Below are 23,866 nucleotides of genomic sequence, written 5' to 3'. Positions count from 1 at the left end.
CACGCCCTGCCCAGCATCCCCGAGACAGCTGCGTCCCGGTTGGCAGCACCTCCTCCGAACCCCACGGTGTCCTCGCGGGCCACATCTCCAGGATGCAGGTTCAGCAGGCAGCCGTGCAGGCGAGTGACGCCGGACCGCTCCCGGTGGAGGGGGAGCTTCGTCTCAGTGCCTCAGCAGCCAGGGCCACACCACAGGGCCACAGCCCGGCCACGGGATGGCTCTTGGGGAACGCCTCACAGCTAACGTCCTCTCTATTTTCATATCGTTTTTGTAAAGAAGAAACAAAGCTTTCCTTACTTTAAAAAGAATTTTAGCAGACAAACCGCTGATTTGCTGCTTTGATCAGTGATGTCCACCAAACGTGAGTTGATGTGGGAAAAAGAATTCAGCAGGGGCCAAAAGAAGCCAGGTTCAGAAACCCGGCCACGAGGAGAACGTGATGGCAACAAAGTCAGAACCAACAGAAAAGGCAGCCCGGAACCTCACTTCCTATTTTCAAGATTTCGTTAGAAAATGTAGCATACTCATGACTTGGGCTAATTCTAGAAGGGTACACACGATAGAACGTGACTTTCCACACTTCGTCTGGCTGAGGGAAACCTGTCCGGGTCACGTCCCTCCCAAGTAAAGCAGCGGCAGCTGCTCTCCAGACAAACAACCCCCAGGCCCCTGGACCACGGCCCGTCTCATGATAAAGCCCATCTCCAAGAGGGAGCCACACACAGCCAGCACGGGAACGCACGAGGGTGGCCAACGCCACCTGACGGGGAGACACACTCCCTGCCCATAGAGCAGCTCTGTGCTCCAGCTGTCAGATGAGTTCTCTGCAAGAGCAGCCTTCCATCTCACCAGCAAAGGAGATCAGGAAACCAGTGTCTTCCTAAACGCCCCTTTTGCGCTGGGGTGGGTGGGGAATCTGAGGGTGTGAAACCTTGGACGATCATCTGTGATATTTCTACATCTAAACAGGTAAGTAAGTTTTCAAGTTTATAAAACTGTTTTGGCCGGGCGCGGTGGCTCACGCCTGTAATCTCAGCACTTTGGGAGACTGAGGTGGGTGGATCACGATGTCAGGAGATCGAGACCATCCTGGCTAACACAGTGAAACCCCATCTCTACTAAAAATACAAAAAATTAGCCGAGTGTGGTGGCGGGCACCTGTAGTCCCAGTTACTCGGGAGGCTGAGGAGGAGATGGCATGAACCCGGGAGGCGGAGCTTGCAGTGAGCCAAGATCACGCCACTGCACTCCAGCCTGGGCAACAGAGAGAGACTCCATCTCAAAAAAACAAAAACAAAACAAAACAAAACATAAAACTGTTTTGTTCAGTCGCTGACGTACATGGGGTGTTGGGGGGGACCCAGCACACAAACCTTCCCGCCATCTGTGGGTGGCTGCGTCTCTTTGGAATCGCAGTGGTGCCTGTGTGTGTTGCTCCCAGGCAGGAAGGAGACTACTACACAAGCTGCCGGGAGGCGCAGCCTGCTAGATGCCTTTAAATGAAGCAAACCCATGGGTGTCTGGTAAAGAAACGCAACTTGAAGAGAATGAAACATGTAAAGATCTGCTCTCGCAATGACACGCAGTGGAAACTGAGTGCTCCCTGCTGTGGTCAGGGCCATGCGGGCTTGGCCCCAGGTGTCACGGGGTCCAGCCTGGGTGCCCTGCTGCTGCCGGGCTGGGGGTTCACGCACCTTCCGGACCATGGGGCTCCCGTCGCTGACCAGCTGGGCCAGCATCATGGCCACGTTGTGGTCGATGGTGGTGGAGTGGTCCGTCCTCTCTGCAGAGTTGCCCACGAACGTGCCAAGGGCGAAGACCGCTGCGCAGCGGACCTGCAAGGCGGCGGGGGGTCACAGGCATGTCCCACACCGGGCCATGCTGCAGCCTGCCTTTCTGCCAGGGCTGTGTGTGCAGGTGAATCCAACCCCACAGGCGCTTGCTCAACAGCTCTCCAGGCCCAAGGCTCTCCTCGCACTATCAGAGTGGCAACGGGGAAGGAGGTGGGGAGCAGCAGGGGCAGCCGCCCAGCTCCAGGGGCAGCTCAGACTGCAGAGGCGGGAGCTGCATTGCCCCGGGAACTGAAACACCAAACCAGGCACCAGGGAATGTGCTGATGAACGAGGCAGGAGTTAGACGAGGGGGCTGGGATGGGCCACAGAGCGTGGGAGGGTGGAAAGAGGGGAGGGCGCAGGCACTCCTGGACGCAGAGGGGCATGGGGGCCCTGAAGTGCACTGAGCACACAGGGCTCAGCCAGGGGAGCGACACTGTGCTGGCCCTGGGGTCCGGGGACCCTGGCTTAGCCCTTGCCTCTGACACCATGTGGTCCTGGGGAGAAGTCACTGTCCCTGAGTCTGCTTCCTCAGCTCTAAAAATGAGCAACACCCTGTGCACTGCACAGGCCGGTGGGAAGAGTGAAGGCAATGGTGCATGAAACTCCCAGAGTTCCAGCCCGCGGCCACTCTGTGGGCAGTGCCCCGCACCTTTCCCAGCTGCACCAGGCACGAGCCACTGGCCTGACTCCTTGCCCGTAAAGTGGAGATCTAGTGGTCCCTGCCTTGCAGGCCACAGTGAGGACGCAGAGCGGCACCCGGACAGCGAGCACGTGACCCCTGCCTCTGAGGTTCCCTCTGGGACCCCCGCTTGCAGCTGTGCCACTGTCCCCGGGAGCGCACTCTGGGCCTGGGTGCAAAATCCCCAGTGGTGTGGTTCTCTTCTCACCAAGGTCCCACTGTCCTACTCTTATTAGCGTGCAGCCCCTGAAGTTCCTGGACACGTGGCCGGCCACACCCGCACGCGAGCAGACCTCTGCCTTACCCCCGCAGTCGGCAGCCAGGAGGACTGGACTCTGAGCCCCCGCCTGACTCACCTCGGGAATGGGGTCGGAGAGGAGGCTGTAGAGCTTCTCATGAGCGCTGTCCCTCACGCCGCACCACCTCGCCGAGTCGAAGTTCTGCCAGATCCTGCCGAGGCAGATGGCCACCCACTGGCGCAGCAAGGGGTGCGGGTCGTTGAGCTGCTCCAGGCAGATGGCAATGAGGTTTCCCTGAAGGCAGGCTTCCTGCAGAGGCGGGACCACAGACAGGTTGGCCTCTGCCTGCCAATGGCAGGCACGTGGTGGGTACCTGCACGGGACAACGGTGGCCACCCATTCTTGGGAAGCCTTGATTTGCTCAATTTTCCCCATTTTAGATTCCTCTGATTCATATTCAGCCTGCAAATGGCTGGCTAGATGAAGGGTCAGAGCCTCTGCTGGACACCCCCTGTCCCCCATGTGGCACCACGTTTCACAGTGGGCCCAGCTCCTCTGCAATGCCAAGGGTGAGCTCTGGGGCTGGGGGTGGCTGGGGGGCTCACCTGCCCCGTGTGATAGCTGTTGACGATCACGGCGAGAATGAAAGCCGTCATGGTCCGGTGTTCAGCCTGGAAAACAAAAACCAGTCCTGGTCGTCTCCCCTCAGTGGAAACTCTCATTCCCAAAGTACAACAGCGTGATCCTTTCGGAATCTTCATGACACGCGTGGCGCATAATTAAAGTAACGAGAGCCAGCTTTACTCCTGGATTTTACGTGGACTCTACAAAAAAGAACAGCTGTTTTCAAAGGCCTTAGAGCTCCAGGCTCGCCTCCCGGAGTGAACAGACTGCTCCTTGGAAGCCCTAACACTGCAAGACGGGCACAGACCTGGTGGATGCCTCCTCTGTCACAGGCCAGCCGTGGCTGTCGGTATGAAGCACCCGGACCTCACCTCCCCAGCCTGCCCAGCACTCTGTGAGCACACGGTCCTGCAATCAGGGGCTTTGGCAGCAAAAGGCATGGAGGCAGCGCTCTAGGTTTCACTGGTTTCTCCTTTCTGCTCTACTGTGACTCATTTTCATTCTGTCCTTTCCTCTGTGCCTCCGCTGACCTGGAAACCAGAGTCTATTTGTAACTTTTTAGCGGTGCCTTAGTTTTTTACACACACGTCGCGCGGTCTAGTGTCCTACGCGCCTCTTGGATTATTGCAGGGCTCCTTGGATTATTGCAGGGCTCCCAGGGTACCTGAGTCCTCCTCTTGTTTAACCCTCCAATTCGCCATGAGTATTCTTCATTTTTACAAATCTATAGATGTGCCAACACGTGTGCCAACTTCTTGGCTTTTTGCCGTGTCCTGCATCTTGCTTTCCCCTCCTGGTTCCGTTTCCTCCTCGCTGACATGTGGTCTTTCTAGCCATGGTCTGTGGGGTTCGGAAGGAGTAAACTGTTGGTGTCTGAACGCTGCTTACTACACCCCCATTCCTGAGTGGTGACTGAGCTGGGTGCAGGTGACCCGACCGTGGTCGCTTTCCTCGCACGCCGAGGGCTCCCCTGTCCCCGGCCGAGAGCCGCTGCTGATGAGAGGTCTGCTGTTGGGGCCGGTGCTGTCTCCTCCTTTGCTAATAACGTTTGTTCTGGGGACTTTTAAGGTTTGTCTTTATGCCTTCGATATTTGCTGTTTTCATTATGATGCGTCTATGTACGAATTTGTTTCTCTTTAACCTTCTCAGGATTCATCCTGCTTTTAAAATCGGAACTCTCCTTTCTTCAAATCTGGAAAATTCTCAGCCACTATCTAATCAAAAACTGCTTCTCTACTTATTCTCCTCTCATTCTGAACCATGCTGGCTACATGGTGAACGTTCCCAGCCCGGCTCTTAGCCCGGCTTTCATATCTTCTCGCTTAGCTTCATGGACGGCGCTCCAGGTGGCTCCTTCATGAATTCTCTTCTTGGCTGTCTGTTCTGTGATTTAATTCATCTCCAGAGTTTTCAATAACAGTGCATGTCTTTTCTTTTTCACAGCTTCAATTTGTTTTTTCAGATCTGCTTATGAGTTTAGAAAAATCAATCGTTTCTGAGGATGAGTAGGAAGCACTGAATGTTTTCTCATAACAGGCACAAAGCACTGAAGAAACAAAACAATGGTTGATGGTTTGACAGAATCATAGCAAATTCTTTCTAGTCAGTCATTTAAGAATATTTATATTATTTATTTATTGAGTGGAGACGGGGTCTCACTCTGTTGCTCAGGCTGGAGTGCAGTTGTACAGTCACAGCTCATTGCAGCCTTGACTTCCCCGGGCTCAGGCGATCCTCCCACTGCAGCCTCCTGAGTAGCTGAGACCACAGGCGTGTGCCACAACGCCAGACAAATTTTTTTGTATTTTTGGTAGAAACGGGGTTTCACCATGTCGCCCAGGCTGGTCTCGAACTCCCGAGCTCAAGCAGTCTGTCAGCCTTGGCCTCCCAAAGCGCTGGGATTACAGGTGTGAGCCACCATACCCAGCCTCCTTTTCATTCTTTCAAACCTGGCTGTGTCCTCAAAACTTCCGCAGGCTCGTGGCTGAGGTGGGGCCGTTCATGTGAGCTTAGCTCACCCTCGCGCCCAAGTCGCCAGTGAGCATTCTTCCTCACTTCTTCATGTGGGATTTGCTTTCTTCCTTATTCTTAAGAATGGGAAGTGATGGTTTCCAAAACTGATACAAAGTATCAACTTTAACTGCCTGTGATGTTTCAATACAACACAAAGTGCACATACTGTTTACCTTTTGGAAAATAGTCCTGTTTGTTTTGTGTTTTAAAAAATCCTTTAGCTTAGAAAACCAACTAGGGGGTGAAATTACATACAAAAGTTCCTTTATACAGCAAAGCCACCGAACACTGTGTAAACTAGCTAATATGTTTAAATATTCTGGCAATATTAAGTTATGTTAAAGAATTATTTAGGATATATCTATTTTGTTCTCATTACTAAGCTGGGAGTTAGAAATTAAAACATTATGAAACATTTATAGAATAACTATACACCCTATTCATGGATTACTAATTTTCAAACAATTTAATACAATAAAGTATACTGAAAATTTAAACTTTCAAACAACCTTCTTTCCTTCCTTTCCTCTCTCCCTTCCTTCCTGAAATGGGGTGCTTCGATATCTTCTTGTGCTCCAAGACCTTCCCAGGCGCCTGAACTCTCATATTACAGACGTGCGGCGCTCACTAGTCTAACGCGGCGGACAGCAGGGAGAGTGGATTTGACTATTTTGCAAAGAAGTCCCAGTGAAAAGAGACTAAAATAAACTAAAACCACCCATGTGTCCGGGTTAACTGAGCTCTTGTTTAGAGACAGACACGAAATAACAGCTGCGCTCATGGTAGTAAGCAAAGGGCCATGTCTAACGTGAAGCAGTTGCTGACCCCGTGGACGTGGCCCCTGCTGTGACCCTTGACCTTTCTCCTGTAGCCCCCGTCAAAAGGCCCCACCGCAGTGCAGCGTGTGGGCAGAGGCGAGTGCTGAGTCCCAAGCCCGTGGAGAGCGTGCTGCCCCGTCCTTACTGGCATGTAGGGGTCCGCCAGGACCGACAGGAAGTACTTGTGGCCGTTGTCCTTCACGAGGTCCGCTTGGCACGACTGGACAGAAAGAGACAGAGGAGAGGCAGTGAGTGCAGTGTCCCGCAGATGCCACAAGCTTCTCATGGTGCGTGAACGAATAAGGGCAGGGACTTCTTATACCTCAATTATTTCCTCCTTTCAAGCCCAGTTTTCATTTGAAAAACAGCTGCAGCCGGTGCCTGCAGACATGCTTTCCTTGGCTAAGAAGGGGAGGGATCCCACGAACGCCCAGAGGAAAGCAGCTCCCAGACGTTTTCTTTCACAACGTCCGGGCACCTGCTGGGGAGTGCCCTGCAGCCCCTGCCTGCACCCCGCTCCTCTCCAGGGGTCCCGCTCCCTCCCTCTGCCCTCCACACTGGAGCACATCCATCCAGCACTCACTCAGAACCAGCCTGTTGGTGCAGACCCGGTCCCGCTCAAGCTTTTCTTGGGGGTTTGCTTGGACTTACAAAATGCTGAAAACCAATCGTGTGTGAGGCAGTAATTCCCAGTGATTTGTGTGCACAGTCCCACTTGAGCAGGTGCTTCCCACTGGCCCCACTTGTTCACCCTCAGGGGCAGCCCCAAGGTGGGAGGTTTCCTGGTGCTAAAGCTGCTGCCAGGCAGGCGACCTTCCCACGCTTCAGGCCATTCTGTGCCTGTCTACACATTCACAGTCACGTGGCCATGACTCGCCTCAGTCGTGAGGACCTACTGTGTGCTGTCAGCACAATCACAGCCACACGGCCATGGCTCGGCACAGTCGTGAGGGCCTACTGGGTGCTGAGCACTAGGTATTTGTGCCCTGCTCACAGTTCCTGAAGGAGCAGCGAGAGGCACCATAGGGTGCTTGGAAAGCGGGGAGAGGGAGGGTCTTGTACTTTTTGGAGACCTCTTTACGCTGATGAGCAGACAGAACTGTCCAGGGCAGTGAGGGAAGAAGGGGAAGGGTGGGATCGAGGGAAAAGACTCCTGCTGCTAGGAAATGGCAGGTCCAGGCCCGGGATGTGGGAGTGGGAGGAGAAAGGGGCAGGGCAGGTGGGGGCAGGGCAGGCGGGGGCAGGGGCAGGGGAAGGGCAAGCAGGAGCAGGGCAGGCGGGGGCAGGTGGCGTTGGGCAGGAGGGGCTGCAGAGCCCAGCAGGAGCTGCAGCCGGGAAGGACATGGCAGGTGGGCTACGGGTCAGACAGGCTGGGTTGGAGCTGGGTCAGCAAGGACAGAGGACGGAGATGATGCCAGGGATGCGAGGATCCAAGTGGAGGGCTGCCCACTGAAGAGGTGGGTTGCGTTTTCATCCCGGAGGGGTTACAGTGGGGCACACTGCAGCTGAGGCATCGATGATGAGACACAAGCAGGGCTGCTCCGGGGCGCGCACAGCCGAAACGCAGAACCTGACCCAAGCCAGGCTTCTAAGATGAGAAGTCACCGCTTATCGGGTGGTGCTGAAGACCACTTTCAGAGGGCAAGGCGGGGGACGGGGCCTGGGGAAGGAGGAGGGACGGGCCCCTAGAGGAAGGGGCTTCCGAGGGTCCTGTGGGCGTCCTGGAGGAAACAGGCCGGCTCTGAGGCTGGCAGTGTTACCGGAAGCCACACCAGGCTGCCTAACTTGGGGACACTTCTGCAAGTGCTGGCTCTGGAAGGGAATAAAATGATCCTGCCTTGGATATTCAGGGGTAACGATAATACTTCGGGAAGTATTTGCCCAAAACCCGAGGAAAAGGGGCAAGATTTGAAACAAAACTAAGTTTCAAGTCCAGGTTCTCCCTCTTACTAGTCAGGGACCCAGGTAAAGTTTTAAAAATCTGTGCTCAGCTGGGCGTGGTGGCTCATGCCTATAATCCCAGCACTTTGGGAGGCTGAGACAGGCGGGTCACAAGGTCAGGAGTTCGAGACCAGCCTGGCCAATATGGTGAAATCCTGTCTCTACTAAAAAATACAAAAATTAGCAGGGTGTGGTGGTGCGTGCCTGTAGTCCCAGCTACTCGGGAGGCTGAGGCAGGAGAATCGCTGGAACCTGGGAGGCGGAGGCTGTAGTGAGCTGAGATCGCACCACTGCATTCCAGCCTGGGCGACAGAGCAAGACTACGTCTCAAAAAAAAAAAATCTGTGCTCAGGTCGTGGAGTCAGAGATGAAACCACGCATGTGAAAGCAGTCTGAAACTGCAGTGCGATGTACAAATCATGGATGCTGTGTTTCTTGGAGAGGGACCCACAGAGCATGGGTTTCTAGGATCAATACCTAGAAACTGAGCAGTGACAGACACTGCATCGACAGAGTGAGGCGTGCGTTCTGCCAGCTCCCAGCATGCTCCTTTCCAGAGGACGAAGGCCATGCAAGGACAGAGGGCCGGAATTTTAAGAACTGGATGCCTGAGGATCAAGAAGAGAACGGCTCTCCAGTGCAGCCCTGCACAGCTGGCCCTTTCCCACTGAGGCAGGAGCAGTTTTGCAGAGGGAATCTGCTGGTTATGCAGCCCAGAAGCCCCTAACCCCGCCATTTCTCAGGGGTGCTCTTACAATGAGGTGTTTCTGCCTCACATCAATACACTGATGAGGCGGGTTATGGGCTGGGCTGCTGGAATGAGAGCTGAGCACGATGGGGAGCGGGTGGTCAGGGAGCCAGGCGCCGGCCTCAGATTGCAAGCTGCTCCCCCGAGCTGAGGAGGCCAATTAAGCAGGCAGTTTTCAAGCAACAACTGGCTTTAGCTGAAGGTTTTGACAAATAAACTGAGATGCATCGACCGCCGTCCACGTAAAGACTCAGCCCAGAGGGCCAGGGCAACAGAAAAAGCACTGGGTTCTGAGAATGAAGGCACCTTCCTTTGTTTTAACCACAGGTTCCACAAGTCAAATCGAAGCCCACACATTCACGGTGAAGCTCCTCAAACATGTCTCACGAGAGTGTAATGAAGCATCACTGACTCAAATCTCACTAATTCTGAATTTGAGGCATGCAAATCAGGGTGGGAGAACTTAGATGTGCCCTTGGTATCGGAGTCTGGCAACTATGTGGTGTATACTACCAGATGTCTGTTCTGATACGGTCATTATGCCAGGTGGGAACCACGGATGATGATGCCTTTTCATACCTTCATTTTCAGCGCTCGGCAGGGGTCATTTACATATCTGTTTAATACACACATTTTCACTAACTCAAACCGCCCCCACCCTCCCCGCAGGCAGGAACCTGGGAGCTCCCACTTCGCTGGCTAGGGGGACTGGGGTGGACTCTCTCGGCTGCTGCTCACTCGCCCAAATTACAAGCACACTTAGACCAAGGGCCTCGTTAAACAGAAGAGGAAACAAGACTTGAAACCACACACGCGCAGAACGGCAGCCAGCAGGCAACACACACTCCCTGCGTGGCACGGGCTCAGTGGGAAGACCCAGCAGGCGACACACACACATCCTGGGCGGCACGGGCTCGGTGGGAAGACCCAGCAGGCGACACACACACCCTGCATGGCACGGGCTCGGTGGAAGACCCGGCAGGCGACACACACACCCTGAGTGGCACGGGCTCGGTGGGAAGACCCGGCAGGCGACACACACACCCTGCATGGCACAGGCTCGGTGGAAAACCCAGCAGGCGACACACACACCCTGTGTGGCACGGGCTCGGTGGAAGACCCGGCAGGCGACACACACACCCTGTGTGGCACGGGCTCGGTGGAAGACCCGGCAGGCGACACACACACCCTGCGTGGCACGGGCTCGGTGGAAGACCCGGCAGGCGACACACACATCCTGGGTGGAGGGGCTTGGTGGAAGACCCGGCAGGCGACACACACACCCTGCGTGGCACGGGCTCGGTGTGAAGACCCAGCAGGCGACACACACATCCTGGGCGGAGGGGCTTGGTGGAAGACCCGGCAGGCGACACACACACCCTGCGTGGCACAGGCTCGGTGGGAAGACACGGCAGGCGACACACACACCCTGCGTGGCACGGGCTCGGTGGGAAGACACGGCAGGCGACACACACACCCTGCGTGGCACGGGCTCGGTGGGAAGACACGGCAGGCGACACACACACCCTGCGTGGCACGGGCTCGGTGGGAAGACACGGCAGGCGACACACACACCCTGCGTGGCACGGGCTCGGTGGAAGACCCGGCAGGCGACACACACACCCTGCGTGGCACGGGCTCGGTGTGAAGACCCGGCAGGCGACACACACACCCTGCGTGGCACGGGCTCGGTGGAAGACCCGGCAGGCGACACACACACCCTGCGTGGCACGGGTTCGGTGGGAAGACACGGCAGGCGACACACACACCCTGCGTGGCACGGGCTCGGTGGAAGACCCGGCAGGTGACACACACATCCTGGGCAGCACGGGCTCGGTGGAAGACCCGGCAGGTGACACACACACCCTGCGTGGCACGGGCTCGGTGTGAAGACCCAGCAGGTGACACACACATCCTGGGCGGCACGGGCTCGGTGGAAGACCTGGCAGGTGACACACACACCCTGCGTGGCATGGGCTCGGTGTGAAGACCCAGCAGGTGACACACACATCCTGGGCGGCACGGGCTCGGTGGAAGACCTGGCAGGTGACACACACACCCTGCGTGGCACGGGCTCGGTGTGAAGACCCAGCAGGTGACACACACATCCTGGGCGGCACGGGCTCGGTGGGAAGACCCGGCAGGCGACACACACACCCTGCGTGGCACAGGCTCGGTGTGAAGACCCGGCAGGCGACACACACACCCTGCGTGGCACGGGCTCGGTGGAAGACCCGGCAGGCGACACACACATCCTGGGCGGAGGGGCTTGGTGGAAGACCCGGCAGAGACTCGGGGCTCAGATGAACAGCACGGTGCCGGCAGCGTGAATCTGCCAAAGCCGCCCTCTCAACAGGCTCCATCTTGCTGTGCTTGTTTTCTCCCAGATCAAGCTATGGTGGTGACATGTGAAGGCCAGAGTAGAAAGCAGGTGGGAAGAGCATGAACATGACATTTTTTTTCCTGAGCAAGCCCCCTTCCCTCACCACACACTGAAGCCAATTTTGATTCTTCTGTGTCTCAGGTTTCAGGAACTTATATTTTTTTAAATGGGGAAAAGGGAGGTGAAGAAGAGAAGAAGAGCAAACACAAAGTGGGAAGATGCAAGCATGTATTTGTTGTTGCAGCAACTAAAGATGTGGTTTGCAAGCAGACACGACAATGGGGCAGAGACCAGGAGGAGCCCCTGGCCAAGGCCCTGCCTTCTACAAGGTGCACCCGTAAGGCCGGGGCGGGCTTTCTTCCTCTGAATATTCTGGCAAAAGATGCCATGGGAAGAGACCCTCCCTTTATTCTCCTTAACAAAGATTTTAAGGATTATTTTATGGAGAAGCAGGAACACAAGAATTACGCCCAGGCTAACAGACCACCGTGCCTGACGGGGAAGGCATAAGGAGGCAGGATGATGAGCCAAGCCCTGAGCCATTTCACGCGAACACCCTACCACGCGCGATTTCACGCAAATACCCTACCACGTGCGTTCTGACGTGAACACAGAGACAATCACAGAGATACGGGCCGTGTTTCATGTCCACTGGGTAGAAGAGTTTAGCCCTTGTTATGAGCGGGGTGCTGGGAAGGAAAAAAGTTTCCAACAAGAACACAGCTCCTGAGTGAGCCTTCGGTGGTGTGTTACCGTAACGTGAGGATGCTACCGGGGAAGTCATCTGCAGGCAGATGGAGGGCTGTGCTGAGATGTTGATATGTGCAGCGTTTTCACAATGGTGGGTGCCAATAAAACTGCTAATGCCTGGGGAAATGATACCGAAGCAGGGATTTCTGTTTACCGGTCACAAGAGCTCACTGCTCTTCACGACTTCAGCAGAACATCCACCGAGCAGTGCAAGACAAGCTTTCCGCCTCAGACCTTCACCCCCAGGCACAGTGTATTCCCCACTCGCCAAGTGAGGCAAGATATTTCAACATAAATATATATATTAATATAGACACATTGATTTTCTGTAAATGGTTAATTCTAATCCCAGCACTTTGGGAGGCCGAGGCGGGTGGATCATGAGGTTAAGAGACGGAGACCATCCTGGCTAACACGGTGAAACCCCATCTCTACTAGAAACACAAAAATTAGCTGGGCGTGGTGGCACGCGCCTGTGGTCCCAGTTACTTGGGAGGCTGAGGCAGGAAAATCGCTTGAACCCGGGAGGTGGAGGTTGCAGTGAGCTGAGATCATGTCACTGCACTCCAGCCTGGTGACAGAGCAAGACTGTCTAAAAAAAAAAAAAGCCCTTTAGTTATTCTCAGGCCAGACATACCCACGTCTACAGTGGCCCTGAATGCTGCATCTGATGTCCATAGCAAAATCACTGGCATGCTTTCCATCTTTTTCAATCTTTTTCAAACCTGTCCTAAAATTTGTAGGTATCAAGGCTCAAACATTAAAATGCTATAGACAGGTACAGACTGAGACGTCCTCTGCCCCTACATGTAATCCTTATTCCACTGCCCATCCCTTCTGGGGTACCCGCTGCTCAGTCCGGGGCTGACTTGGGTCCACATGTCTGTATCTCTGCACGTCTGCACGACTTCCCCAGCACAGACCGAGTGCTGTCCTGCCGGGCCTGACGCACTGTCCCTGAGGCCACGCTGAGTCATGGTAAGCAATGCCCTCCCACATGTGGCACTGACAGTGAGATTCTTCACATTCTGGTGTCAATAACCCAGCAGTGTGACAGTGGTGACTGAGAAACATCTCTGCACAAAGAAACTCATCTTCCCCTTTCTCCTCAGCTCCTCAGACTTTGGGGCACACCGAGCTCATTGTTTTGCGGCTTTGGGAATGTGGTGAGCTCCCTCTGCCTGCTGGGCCTTTGTCCTCTCCGCCTGGGGCCCTGTCCCCGGGCAACAGCCTCTGCAAAGGCTTCTCTCCCCACCCTTTGCAGGGACTTGGACTGCACTTCCCAAGCTGCTGCATTTGAGTTAGCCATTTCCACCCTCCACCTTCCGGGCTAGATTTCAGCTCTGTGAGGACAAAAACATGCATTATTAGTCTTTATTAGTCCCAGGAGGCAGCACGTCCTGGTTCCTATTAGGCGCTCAGTAAATGTTGGATGAATGAATAAAAGAACCCATGTTTGGGCTGTGGAGAAACATCACAATTCCAGATCACGTATGCCAATCACTCCCAGGACCTGCTTCCCACTGGAGAGCTGCTCTGTCTGCGGTGAGTAGTGGAGGGGCTCCCTGTGCCCAGTGGCAGGGCTGGCAAAGGAGCCCTTGGAACCGCACAGAGCCCCGGGCATTTCTGGCTAGAGTAGGTGTCTGAGCTGCAGCCTTCTGGACCTGCAACGAACCCAGCCTTGACCTCAGGTCAAAACTGTGGTGCCTTTCTCATCCAAATTCTAATACTAAGAAGAGGAAATACAGTAGCGAAAGAGTGTGGGACAGGAGCCAGCCATGAGCAGGGAGAAGTCAGGCTGGGGGTCCCCCCCGGGGCCTCCTCAGTGGTGGGGGGCCCGCTCTAGGCTGACCAGGCTCCCCATCCCCTCTCCCTTGCTCACACCCAGCAGGCTGAGCTGAGATTTGATCAGGTTCCAAGCAGCCTAACCATCAATCATGGGGCCCTGAAGTTGCCACACAGAGACAGCCTCTGTGGTCGCCCTCGGCACAGCCTGCCGTGCTACCTCCACCTGCCAGGGCCCCGTTGTGCCCATCCATCTTGCAAAGGGCGAGCCGTCACCCCTGCCAGGGCTCGGTCTAGTCTGCCTGGGTGCAGGCGAAAAGAGCCTGGAACTGGGATGGCTGGGCAGACAGCCCCCTCCGGGTTCCTCTCTCTTTTGTTCATTTCATTCTTGGCAACCCGGAGGCAGCTGATACAACTGTCTCCCTCCAGCCAAACACCTCCCACCTTCCCAGGGGGCACCGACAGACCCAGTTCCCTGCAGCCTGGCCTGTCACCAATGTGCATGTCACCTAGCCTGGTCTCTTCTGGGGTGGGTGGTCTCCCAGGACCGACCCAGTGCTGGGACAGCTGGGTGGCCCAGCTCGTGTGGTCTGGCTTCCATGGGGGTGGGAGGAAGGGGCCTCTGCCTTCCTGGTCCGCAGTTCTCCCGGGATAGCATGAGGGTGTGTTGGAATCTGCCCGGAGTAAAACCCATTCTGAGGGCTCCACATGGAACTAGGAGGATGGCTAAAAAGAGGCCATTCTGCACAGCAGTGCTACTTTCCAAACGACGAAAGCATCACCCGGAGTCCCCTCAACGGCACCTCCTCGCTGATGACAGCTTCTGTGAAAGATGCTGGCTTCACAAATGTGTCCCCTCAACAGCCCCTCCTCGCTGATGACAGCTTCTGTGGAAGACGCCAGCTTCACAAACGTGCTCCCTAGCAATGCAATCTTGTTGATTTTCTGCATATCACAACCTCTAGTTTGGAAATTCCATGGACCATCAAGGCAATTAAACTATGTTAGATGAGCAGGGGGAACGCTAGGTGACATTTTTGCCGTTCCTGGGACTCACCCAACTGTGGGCACAGGCGCGTTCCTGACTACTCCTGAAGGGTCCCTAACTGGCAAAGCTCCCTGCAGAAAGGGTAAAACTGTTTCCACCTCATCCACTGACAGTCAGCTGGAAGATGGTACTGCAGGAAGGTTAGCTCAAGAAGGGGCAAACTGAAAGAAGGAATACTAAAAAATCCCAGAAATGCAAAACAAAATGTAATAAAATAAAACAACTCCAAGACTAAGCCTTATACAGTAAGCCTATATAAATAACAAGAGGAAATTAAAAGAACTATATTTAGACCCTAAAAAGATAATGAAACTGCAGGAAGGAATAAGTTAACCACAGACATAAAGCAGTTTAGGCAACAAAAGCCTAGCACATCCAAGCGACTTCCTTCCAAAGAGCAGCCCATTCCGGAAGGGGCGGCAGCAGCGGCTTCACCCGGGGGACGCCTGACCTCAGCCGGGTCTGCTCCACCTCAGCCAGGGACCCAGGCCAGCGCCACCAGGGATCTGCCATTCCAACAGCATGCACCCTCATTATGACGGGACCAGAAGGGCACTCCCCTCTGTGGTCTTCCTCTCCAAATCCCAATCTAATCAGGACAAAAACATTGGGCATGGCCGGGAGCGGTGGCTCACGCAGTCAGGAGATCGAGACCATCCTGACTAACATGGTGAAACTGCGTCTCTACTAAACAAAATACAAAAAAATTAGCCGGGCGTGGTGGCGGGCGCCTATAATCCCAGCTACTCGGGAGGCTGAGGCAGGAGAATGGCGTGAACACAGGAGGCAGAGGTTGCAGTGAGCCGAGATCGCGCCACTGCACTCCAGACTGGGTGACAGAGTGAGACTCCGTCTCAAACGAAAAAAAAATTGGGCAAATCAAAACAGAGGGCCAGTCTACAAAATCCCTGACCAGTACCCCTGAAAGCTGTCAAGGTCATCAAAAACAAGGAGAGTCTGGGAAACTGTCACGGCCAAGAGAAGCCCAAGAAGACACGAGGACTCAATGTCATGTGGGATCCTGGGACAGAAAAAGGACATTAGCAAGAAAATCTGATGAGAGTATCAACTGCAGTTAATAACTGATCAACATAAGTTCATTGACTGTTGTGTCAAACATGTTGTACTAATAGAAGATGTCAACAGGGAAAATTGGGTGTAGGGTACATGAGAACTCTATTTACTACCTTTTCCAGTTTTCTGTAAATCTAAAACTGTTCTAAAAAAATAAAATTTGTTAAGATAGAAACTATAGGAACAAGAGTTCGGGACACAAGTAAAATGTTTGCTCAGGTCCTAACTAGACTAGCCCCCACCAGGGCACTGCCTTCTGCTGTGGGACCAGCAGGGTCACACGCTCTAGATGGCACTCTCTTGCCCCCTTGGTGAGACTGAGTCATCGCTGGATGACAGAGAAAGCTAACCTTGCACATTTTTTGAATTGAGTTTTGCGTGTACGTGTGTGAGGAAGGGGGAGTGGGGAAAAGTGGAGAAGCAGGAAGAGGAGAGGCTATCAACGCCAGCATACACGAACTGTGGTGAAACGACTTTGCAGAGAAAACAGTAGAGAATTTGAGCACGGGTAGGAGAACCAGCACAGACGTGGGGGCTGCAGAAACAAAATTCTATGACTCTCTCATCTGCCTTTTCTTCATAGTGCGGGTTCCTTCCGGGGACCACAGCAGCCTGTTCCCAGTGGGAAGCCTCTTTGAATTTCCAAATCTGGATTTACTTCATGAATACCATCACAGAGCATCTTTCCAGATCCACTGACATTACGCTCTTGGAGTTCCCTGGTGGTACCATAACCACAACTTTATTAACTATAACTCAGAAGGTCAGTCTGGACTGAGTATTAATTTTATCTATGAAAAACCCTCAATTAACTGGAACCTTGCCTACGGGAGTCCTTAATTAACTCTCCCCCTCCTTAATCTTGCTAATTAGCAGATACACAAATGCTAACAGCAGGCTTGAGGAACTTATTAAAACAACCACTACCACCATCCTTGCAAAGTGTGACCAGCGGAAGACAGCTGTGGCCACATCTCCTGGACTTTCTCATCATGAAGTTCTGCTGCTCTTGAGCTCTGGTCCCATCACATGACCCTAAGGACAATTTCAAAAAATACTCTGCCATGTTTGCTTTCTGCCCCCTGATCCCCTGTGTTTTTCTGCACTGTGTGAAAGTTGCAGATAGCATGACGCTTTGCCCAGAAATATTCCTAAGGAAAAGGACATTTGCTTCCATGAGCACAAAGCCATGATCACACTCCAGACACGTGACAGCGACACAGTCCTCCCTCCTGACACGCAGTCTGGAGTCAAACTCCTCCCAATCCTGCTGCCTGACACGCAGTCCAGAGTCAAATTCCTCCCAATTGTTCACAACTGTCCTCTGTGAGCCTCTGATTTTTGATCCAGGATCCAACTAGGAACTGCACTTAGCTGATACACATTAGTCTTGAGAATAAATCCCCCCACATTTTTGGGGGTGTTTCTTGAATTAAAAATCTAGAAGGGGGGCCAGGTGTAGTGGCTCACGCCTGTAATCCCAGCACTTTAGAGGCTGAGGCACGCAGATCACTTGAGGTCGGGAGATTGAGACCAGCCTGGCCAACATGGGAAACCTCGTCCACTGAAAACATAAAAATTAGCCAGGCATGGTGGCAGGCGTCTGTAGTCCTAGCTACTCGGGAGGCGGAGGCAGGAGAATCGCTTGAACCCGGGAGGCGGAGGTTGCAGTGAACCAAGATCGCCCCACTGCGCTCCAGCCTGGGCGACAGAGTGAGGCTCTATCTCAGAAAAAATAAAAAAACAAAATAAAATCTAGAAGGGAACAGTACAGTTCTTTGTAGACTGTCCCACAATGAGAAGTTTTTTAGCCGCTTCATTGATGTATAAGCGACATATAAATTTGAAGTACGGAATTTGAAGATTTTGGACGTACGTCTACACCTGTGAAGCTACCGCCACAGTCTAGGTGGGGTCTGGCCCCTCAGACATTTTCTTCTGCCCCTGTGCCCCCACCCTCACCTGCCCCCAGCAGCAGCTCATCTTCTTTCTGTGACTGTAGTTTGCATTTTCTAGAGTTTTAAATGAATGGCACCATACAGCAGGTACCCTTCTTTAAACTGGCTTCTTTCACTCAATCTAACTATTTTGAGATCAGTTCATGCCTTTTCATTGTTGAGTACGATTTCATCGCATGGAAAGATTGCAGTTTGCTTATTCATCCGCTTGTTAATGTATATTTAGGCTATTCCCAGTTTTTGGCCATTATAAATAAAGCTGCTAGGAACATTCATGTACAAGCCTTTGTGTGGACATGCTTCCATTTCTCTTGGGGAATACCTAGGAAAGGAATGGCTGGATTGTATGCTGAGTGTGTGCTAATCTTTATAAGAAACTGTGAAATAAGTTTGCAAAGTGGTAGTGCACACTTTGCACTGCCCTCAGCAGCATACGAGGGTTCCAGTTCCTCCACGGCCTTGCCGACACTTGATAACAGCAGCTTCTTAGGCATCTACTTGGTGTGCAGTGGTATATGACTGTGGGTGCAGTTTGCATTTCTGGCATCTACTTGGTGTGCAGTGGTATAAGACTGTGGGTGCAGTTTGCATTTCTCTGGTGACTAATGATATTCAGCATTGTTTCATGTGCTGATTTGCCATTTGTACTTCTTTGGTGAAGTGTCTGCTCAAACCTTTTGCCCAATTTTCTTTGTCTGCTTGTGTTTGTTTTCATATTGATTTTTGAGAGTTCTTTCTATACTCTTGCCACAAGTTTTTAACAGAAAAACGATTTGTCAATATTTTCCCAGTCTGTGTCTTGCCTTTTCATTTTCTCCATGTCATCATAGGGCAGGTGTTTATATGTATGGGTCTATTCCCTGACTTTCTTCCTGTTCCATTATCTGTTTGTCCATTTGAAGCTATTTCCGATCTTGAGTACTGTGGATTTACAGTCACTCTTGTAATCAGGTAGTATTAGTCCTTCAACTGTGTTTTTCTTTTTCAAAGTTGTTTTGCCTGCTGTAGGTCCTTTGTATTTCCATGTGGATCTCAGAAGCAGAAATCAAGATAACGGACGATCTCTTCATTTATTTAGGTCTTCCTTCATTTCTTTTCACAATGGTTTGTAGTTTTGGTGTACAGATCTTGCCCACCTTTTGTCAGAATGTATCCCTAAGTATTTCTTTTTTTTTAGTGGTATTGTAAATGTTCTCTATTTTAATTTCAACTTCGAATTGTTGATTGCTAGTGTATATACATAAATTGATTTTTGTATATTGATCTTATAACCTGCAAACTTACTAAATTTTTTCTAGTAGCACTTTAAAATAGATTAAACTGGATTCTCCACATAGACAATCATGCTGTCTGAAAATACAGTTAAACCTCTTCCTTTTGAACTTGAATGCCTTTTTTTCCTTGACTCACTGTACTACCTAGAACTTCCAGTACAATGTCAAGGGATGTGACAAGAACAGATGGCTTCATCTTGCATTCAGTCTTTCACCACTGTATGGTGTTGGCTGTAAGTTTGTGGAGATGCTGTTTGTCAGGTAGACGAAGTTCCCTTCTATTAGGAGTCTGCAGGGAGTTTTTTTTTTTTAAATCAGAAGTGGATCTCAGATTTTGTTAAAATACTTTGCCTGCATCTCTTGAGATGGTAATATGGTTTTCATCTTTTTTTAATATGGTAAATTACATGGACTTTTCTCTCTTTAAAAATAATTCTTTAATAATCTGAAGAGGCATCCATTGATTTTTCAATCCTTAAACAGGTTTGCATCCCTGAAATAAATCCCACTAGATCATGTTTTGTTTTTAAATAGCATTGAATTTAATTTGCAAAAATTCTATTTAGCATTTTTGTACCTGTGTTCAAGAGAATACTTATCTGTAGTTTTCTTTTCTTGTAACGTGTGTCTAACCTTTGGTATCAGGTAATGCTGGCCTCATAGAACAATATGGGAAGGTGCTTAGATGTCATCCAAATACGTCTTCCTTAATGTTCAGTAAAATTCACTGGCGAAGTCATCTGGACCTGCAGTTTTCTTTGTAGTAAAAGTTTTCACTACAAATTCCACTTGTAGTGACAGGCACAGTGACTCAGGCTTTAATCCCAGCACTTTGGGAGGCCAAGGTGGAAGCATCGCTGGAGCCCAGAAGTTCAAAACTAGCCTGGGCAATGTGGTGAGACCCAGTCTCTAAAAAAAAAAGAAGCATAGTGCTATTCAGATTAATGATGTCTTCCTCAGTGAGTGGTATGTGTCATTCAAGGAATCAAAGTTATCAAATGTTCTCCCATCAAGTTGCTCATGATATTTGCCTATCATCCTTTTAATATCCCTAGAATCTTTCATGATGTCACCTCTATCATTCCTGATGCTGGAATTTGTGTCTTCTTTGTTTCCTTATCAGTCAGGGTGGTGTTTCACAGTTTTATTCATGTGTTTTTTAAAAAAATGTTTTGTTCAACAGATTTTGATGTTTCACTGTCTTCTTTCGTATTAGTCTCCAGTCTGATTTGTATCATTTCCTTTGGCCGACAGCTTTGGGTTTACTCCACTCACGCTGCCCTCTTCAGGTGGAAGCCGGGATCTCCGGTTGGAGACCGTCCCTCTTTTCCAATGCATTGTCTAGCAGCTGCTACACACTCCCCTCTCAGCACTGTTCAGAGCTGGGTCCACGTATACTCAACCTATTTATTTTATATCTTAATATACATGTTTATATAATGTATTTATTTAATGCAAGTATTTATAATTATATGTACATTATATTATATATTATATATACATACTTATAGTAATAAATATTTTATATAAATCTTTGTTATTCACGACTTATAATATCTATGTATCTTAATATTACATATTTATATTCTATTTTGCATTAAGCACATATATATTAATTTACTTAAAATTTTATGGAATGAAATGAAAATCATTTATTTATCTAAAAGTTTCTGTTTCTAAGTGCTTAGAGACATTCCTACTATCTATTATTGATTTGAGTTTGACTCCACTGTGGCTGTAGAACACGCCTGTAAGGCTTCAGTTCTTTACATTTGTTGAGGTTTATTTGGCCAAGGGTCGGGCCTATCGTGGCACAGCCTCTGTGCACTGCATGGCTGCTGTGTGGCGTGTTCTATAAACGTCAGGGCCCAGCTGCTGGAGAGTGCTGCTCAAGTCCCCACTATTCCTACTGATTTCTCTTCTGCTTGTTCCGTCAGTTACTGAGAAAGGAGCACTGAAACCTCCAAATGTAATTACGGATTTATCTACTTCTCCTCGCAGTTCCATCAGTTTTGTTGGATGTATTTTGAAACTCTATTATTAGGTGAATAGACATTTAGGACTGCGACGTTCTCTTGATGAATGATGAATGGACTTCCGTAGCATTATGAAATGTCTATCTTTATTGTTAGCAACGTTCTCTGCTCCCAAACCTCCTCTGTCTGATATTAACATAGGCCCTGCAGCCTTCCTCTGCTTAGTGCCTGCATGGCAGAGCTCTTCCCGTCCTTTTGCCTTCAATCTACTCGTGTCTTTATGCCAAAAGTACATTGCTTGTAGCCATGGTATGGTTTTTTCTTGCTCTTCAACCTGGTGGCCTCTGCCTTCTCATTGTGGCGTTCAGTCTCCACACTGCAGTGACGGGCAGGATTAGGTGTCCATCTATCATCCTGCCTTTTTCTATTTGTTACATCTACTCTTGGTTATCTTTTTCCTTCCGTGTTGTCTATATTTATGACTTCATATCATCTCTGTTGTCAGCTAATTAACTGTAATTCTTTTTAAAATTTGAGTGGCAGCTTTAGGGTTTATGGACTACTGCAGTTCATCTTCAGGCAGGTGATATGAGACCACTTCAAACAAAGTCCAAGAATCTTACAATAGTATTTCTTCATTCTCTCTCCTCCCCATCTTTTTGTTACTGTTAGCATGCATTTTGCTCTTACAAATGTTATACATTCTGTGGGGTGCCGTGGCTTGTGCCCGTGATCCCGGCTACTCGGGAGGCTGAGGCAGGAGGATGGCTTGAGCCAGGGAGTGTGAGCTTACAGTGAGCGGTGATCAGGCCTGGGCAACAGAATGAGACCTTGTCTCGTAAGGAAAAAAAATTAAGAGTGCAAAAGGCTTATTGAAAAAAATTCATAGTACACTGTTATTATTTTTCTTAAAACAATTATCTTTTAAAGAAGATTTAAATAAAAAGAAAAAAATCCCATATTTATCCACATAGTACTCATTTCTGCTGCTTTGAATTCCTTTGTGTAGAACCGTGTTTCCCTCTGAAGAGTATTCTCCTCAAGGCTAAAGGACTTCACGTTTCTTGTAGTGTGGATCTGCCGGGGATAAGCTTTCATCTTTTGTATGTCTTTAAAAGTCTTTATTTTGCCTCCATTTGGAAATATATTTTCAGTGGGTATAGAATTCTAGGTTGACAGTTTTTTCTCTTTCTCTGTCTCTCTCTCTGCTTTAAAGATGCTGTTCCGCTGTCTGCCTTTTCCATCTGTAGGAAATCTGTGAGAAACCTGCCATCACGCTCACCTTTTCCATCTGTAGGAAATCTGTGAGAAGAAACTTGCCATCATTCTCACCTTTTCCATCTGTAGGAAATCTGTAAGAAGAAACCTGCCGTCACTCTCACCTTTTCCATCTGTAGGAAATCTGTAAGAAGAAACCTGCCGTCATTCTCACCTTTGCTCCTTACTGGCTTTTTACTGGCTGCCTTTAGACTTTTGAATTTCTCACTGTTTTTCAAGTAATTTGATTGCGATATGCCTTCGTGTAGTTTTCTTGTGCTTGGGGTTTGCTAAGCTTTGTGGATCTGTGGGTTTATAATTGTCATCAAATTCAAAAAAATGTTAGCTATTGTTTCTTCAAATACTTTTTCTGCTAGCCTCCTTTATGGACCCCCAAATAGTACGTTATGTCACTTGCCGTTGTCCCGCAATGGAATAATATTCTTTTAATTAAATTTTTTTTTCTTTTCTTACCATGCTTCATTTTTGTTAGTTTCTATTGCTATTTTCTTTCTTTCTTTGAGGCAGGGCCTCACTCTGTTCCCTAGGCTGGAGTGCCATGGCACAATCACGGCTCTTTGCAGCCTCGACCTCCCGGGCTCAAGCGATTCTCCCGCCTCAGCCTTCTGAATGGCTGGGACTACAGGCACGCGCCAACATGCATGGCTGAGTTTTGTATTTTTTCATGTGGAGTCGAGGTTTCACCATGTTGCTCAGGCTGGTATTGAAATCCTGGTTACTCAAGTGATCTGTCTGCCTCAGCCTCCAAAAGTGCTGAGATTACAGACGTGAGCCCCGTGCCTAACCGTGTACTGTTTTCTCCTGCAATGCTTAACTGGTTGTTAATCCCATCAAGTATATTTCTTCCCATCACATATTGCAGTTTTCATCTCTAGAAATTCAAGTTGGGTTCTTTTTATATTCTCCGTGTCTCAATTTAACTTTTTGAATATGTAGAGTAGACTTCTAACTTTTTAATGTCCTGGCCTGCTAATGATAACACCTGCAGCAGTTCTGAGCAGGTTTTAATGGGTTGATTTCCTTTTCTTCATTACGGGTCATATTTTCCTGATTCTATCTGCCTGGTAATTTCTGGCTGGTAGTGTGAAGTGGAGTGTAACCTGGCATGGGGAGTGATGCTGGGGGAGGCCCTCTGGGATCAGAGTCCTGGGAGAATCCTGGACAGACGGCTTTCTTCATGTGCCCCCCTTGGTGCTCCTTGTCCTGTGCGGTACCATCTGTGTCAGATCAGTGTCACCACTGTGCCCTGCTCTGTCTCATGTAAACGGCACACACTTCTCCCCGGTGGCACATGGTGTTCTTCCGTCTTTTCTTCCGCCCGAGCCCACCTTCTTTAAGGCCTCCCCATGAATCCCTCAGAGCTTCTGGCACAATGGGACACACGGTGTGCCCCAAAGGTGCTTGGGAAATGAGGGGAGGTCCCAGGCTCGCCCTTCCGCTGGG

At 50.5% G+C, this 23,866-nt stretch overlaps 1 protein-coding gene across 2 annotated transcripts in view, besides 3 other annotated features; it reads right to left on the bottom strand.

Annotated features, from left to right (window-relative positions):
• Positions 1–23,866, bottom strand: part of RPTOR (regulatory associated protein of MTOR complex 1) — a 421,531-nt gene that overhangs the window by 79,526 nt on the left and 318,139 nt on the right. Inside the window, exons 14-17 of one of the 2 annotated variants that reach the window (NM_020761.3) lie at positions 6,354–6,428; positions 3,359–3,424; positions 2,871–3,062; positions 1,695–1,835 (exon numbers count right to left, since the gene is read on the bottom strand). The exons of the other annotated variant lie outside the window; for it this stretch is intronic. Coding sequence (NP_065812.1) covers positions 1,695–1,835; positions 2,871–3,062; positions 3,359–3,424; positions 6,354–6,428 — 474 coding nt within the window. The remainder of the gene's footprint in view (positions 1–1,694; positions 1,836–2,870; positions 3,063–3,358; positions 3,425–6,353; positions 6,429–23,866) is intronic. 2 annotated transcript variants of the gene reach the window in all.
• Positions 7,652–8,251: an enhancer, noted in NCBI's record as "H3K4me1 hESC enhancer chr17:78852392-78852991 (GRCh37/hg19 assembly coordinates)". NCBI's record gives its function as "activates a minimal SCP1, AML or CMV promoter by ChIP-STARR-seq in naive H9 embryonic stem cells {active_cell/tissue: H9 hESC(naive)}" and the evidence as "EXISTENCE:reporter gene assay evidence [ECO:0000049][PMID:30033119]".
• Positions 9,469–9,518: an enhancer, noted in NCBI's record as "active region_12948". NCBI's record gives its function as "activates an Ori minimal core promoter by ATAC-STARR-seq in GM12878 lymphoblastoid cells {active_cell/tissue: GM12878}" and the evidence as "EXISTENCE:reporter gene assay evidence [ECO:0000049][PMID:35858748]".
• Positions 12,607–13,566: an enhancer, noted in NCBI's record as "H3K27ac-H3K4me1 hESC enhancer chr17:78847077-78848036 (GRCh37/hg19 assembly coordinates)". NCBI's record gives its function as "activates a minimal SCP1, AML or CMV promoter by ChIP-STARR-seq in naive and primed H9 embryonic stem cells {active_cell/tissue: H9 hESC(naive and primed)}" and the evidence as "EXISTENCE:reporter gene assay evidence [ECO:0000049][PMID:30033119]".

Source organism: Homo sapiens, chromosome 17 (assembly GCF_000001405.40).
Source record: "Homo sapiens chromosome 17, GRCh38.p14 Primary Assembly".
In the NCBI taxonomy this organism is placed as follows: Eukaryota; Metazoa; Chordata; class Mammalia; order Primates; family Hominidae; genus Homo; species Homo sapiens.
This window is presented reverse-complemented; position numbering and strand designations above follow the sequence as displayed.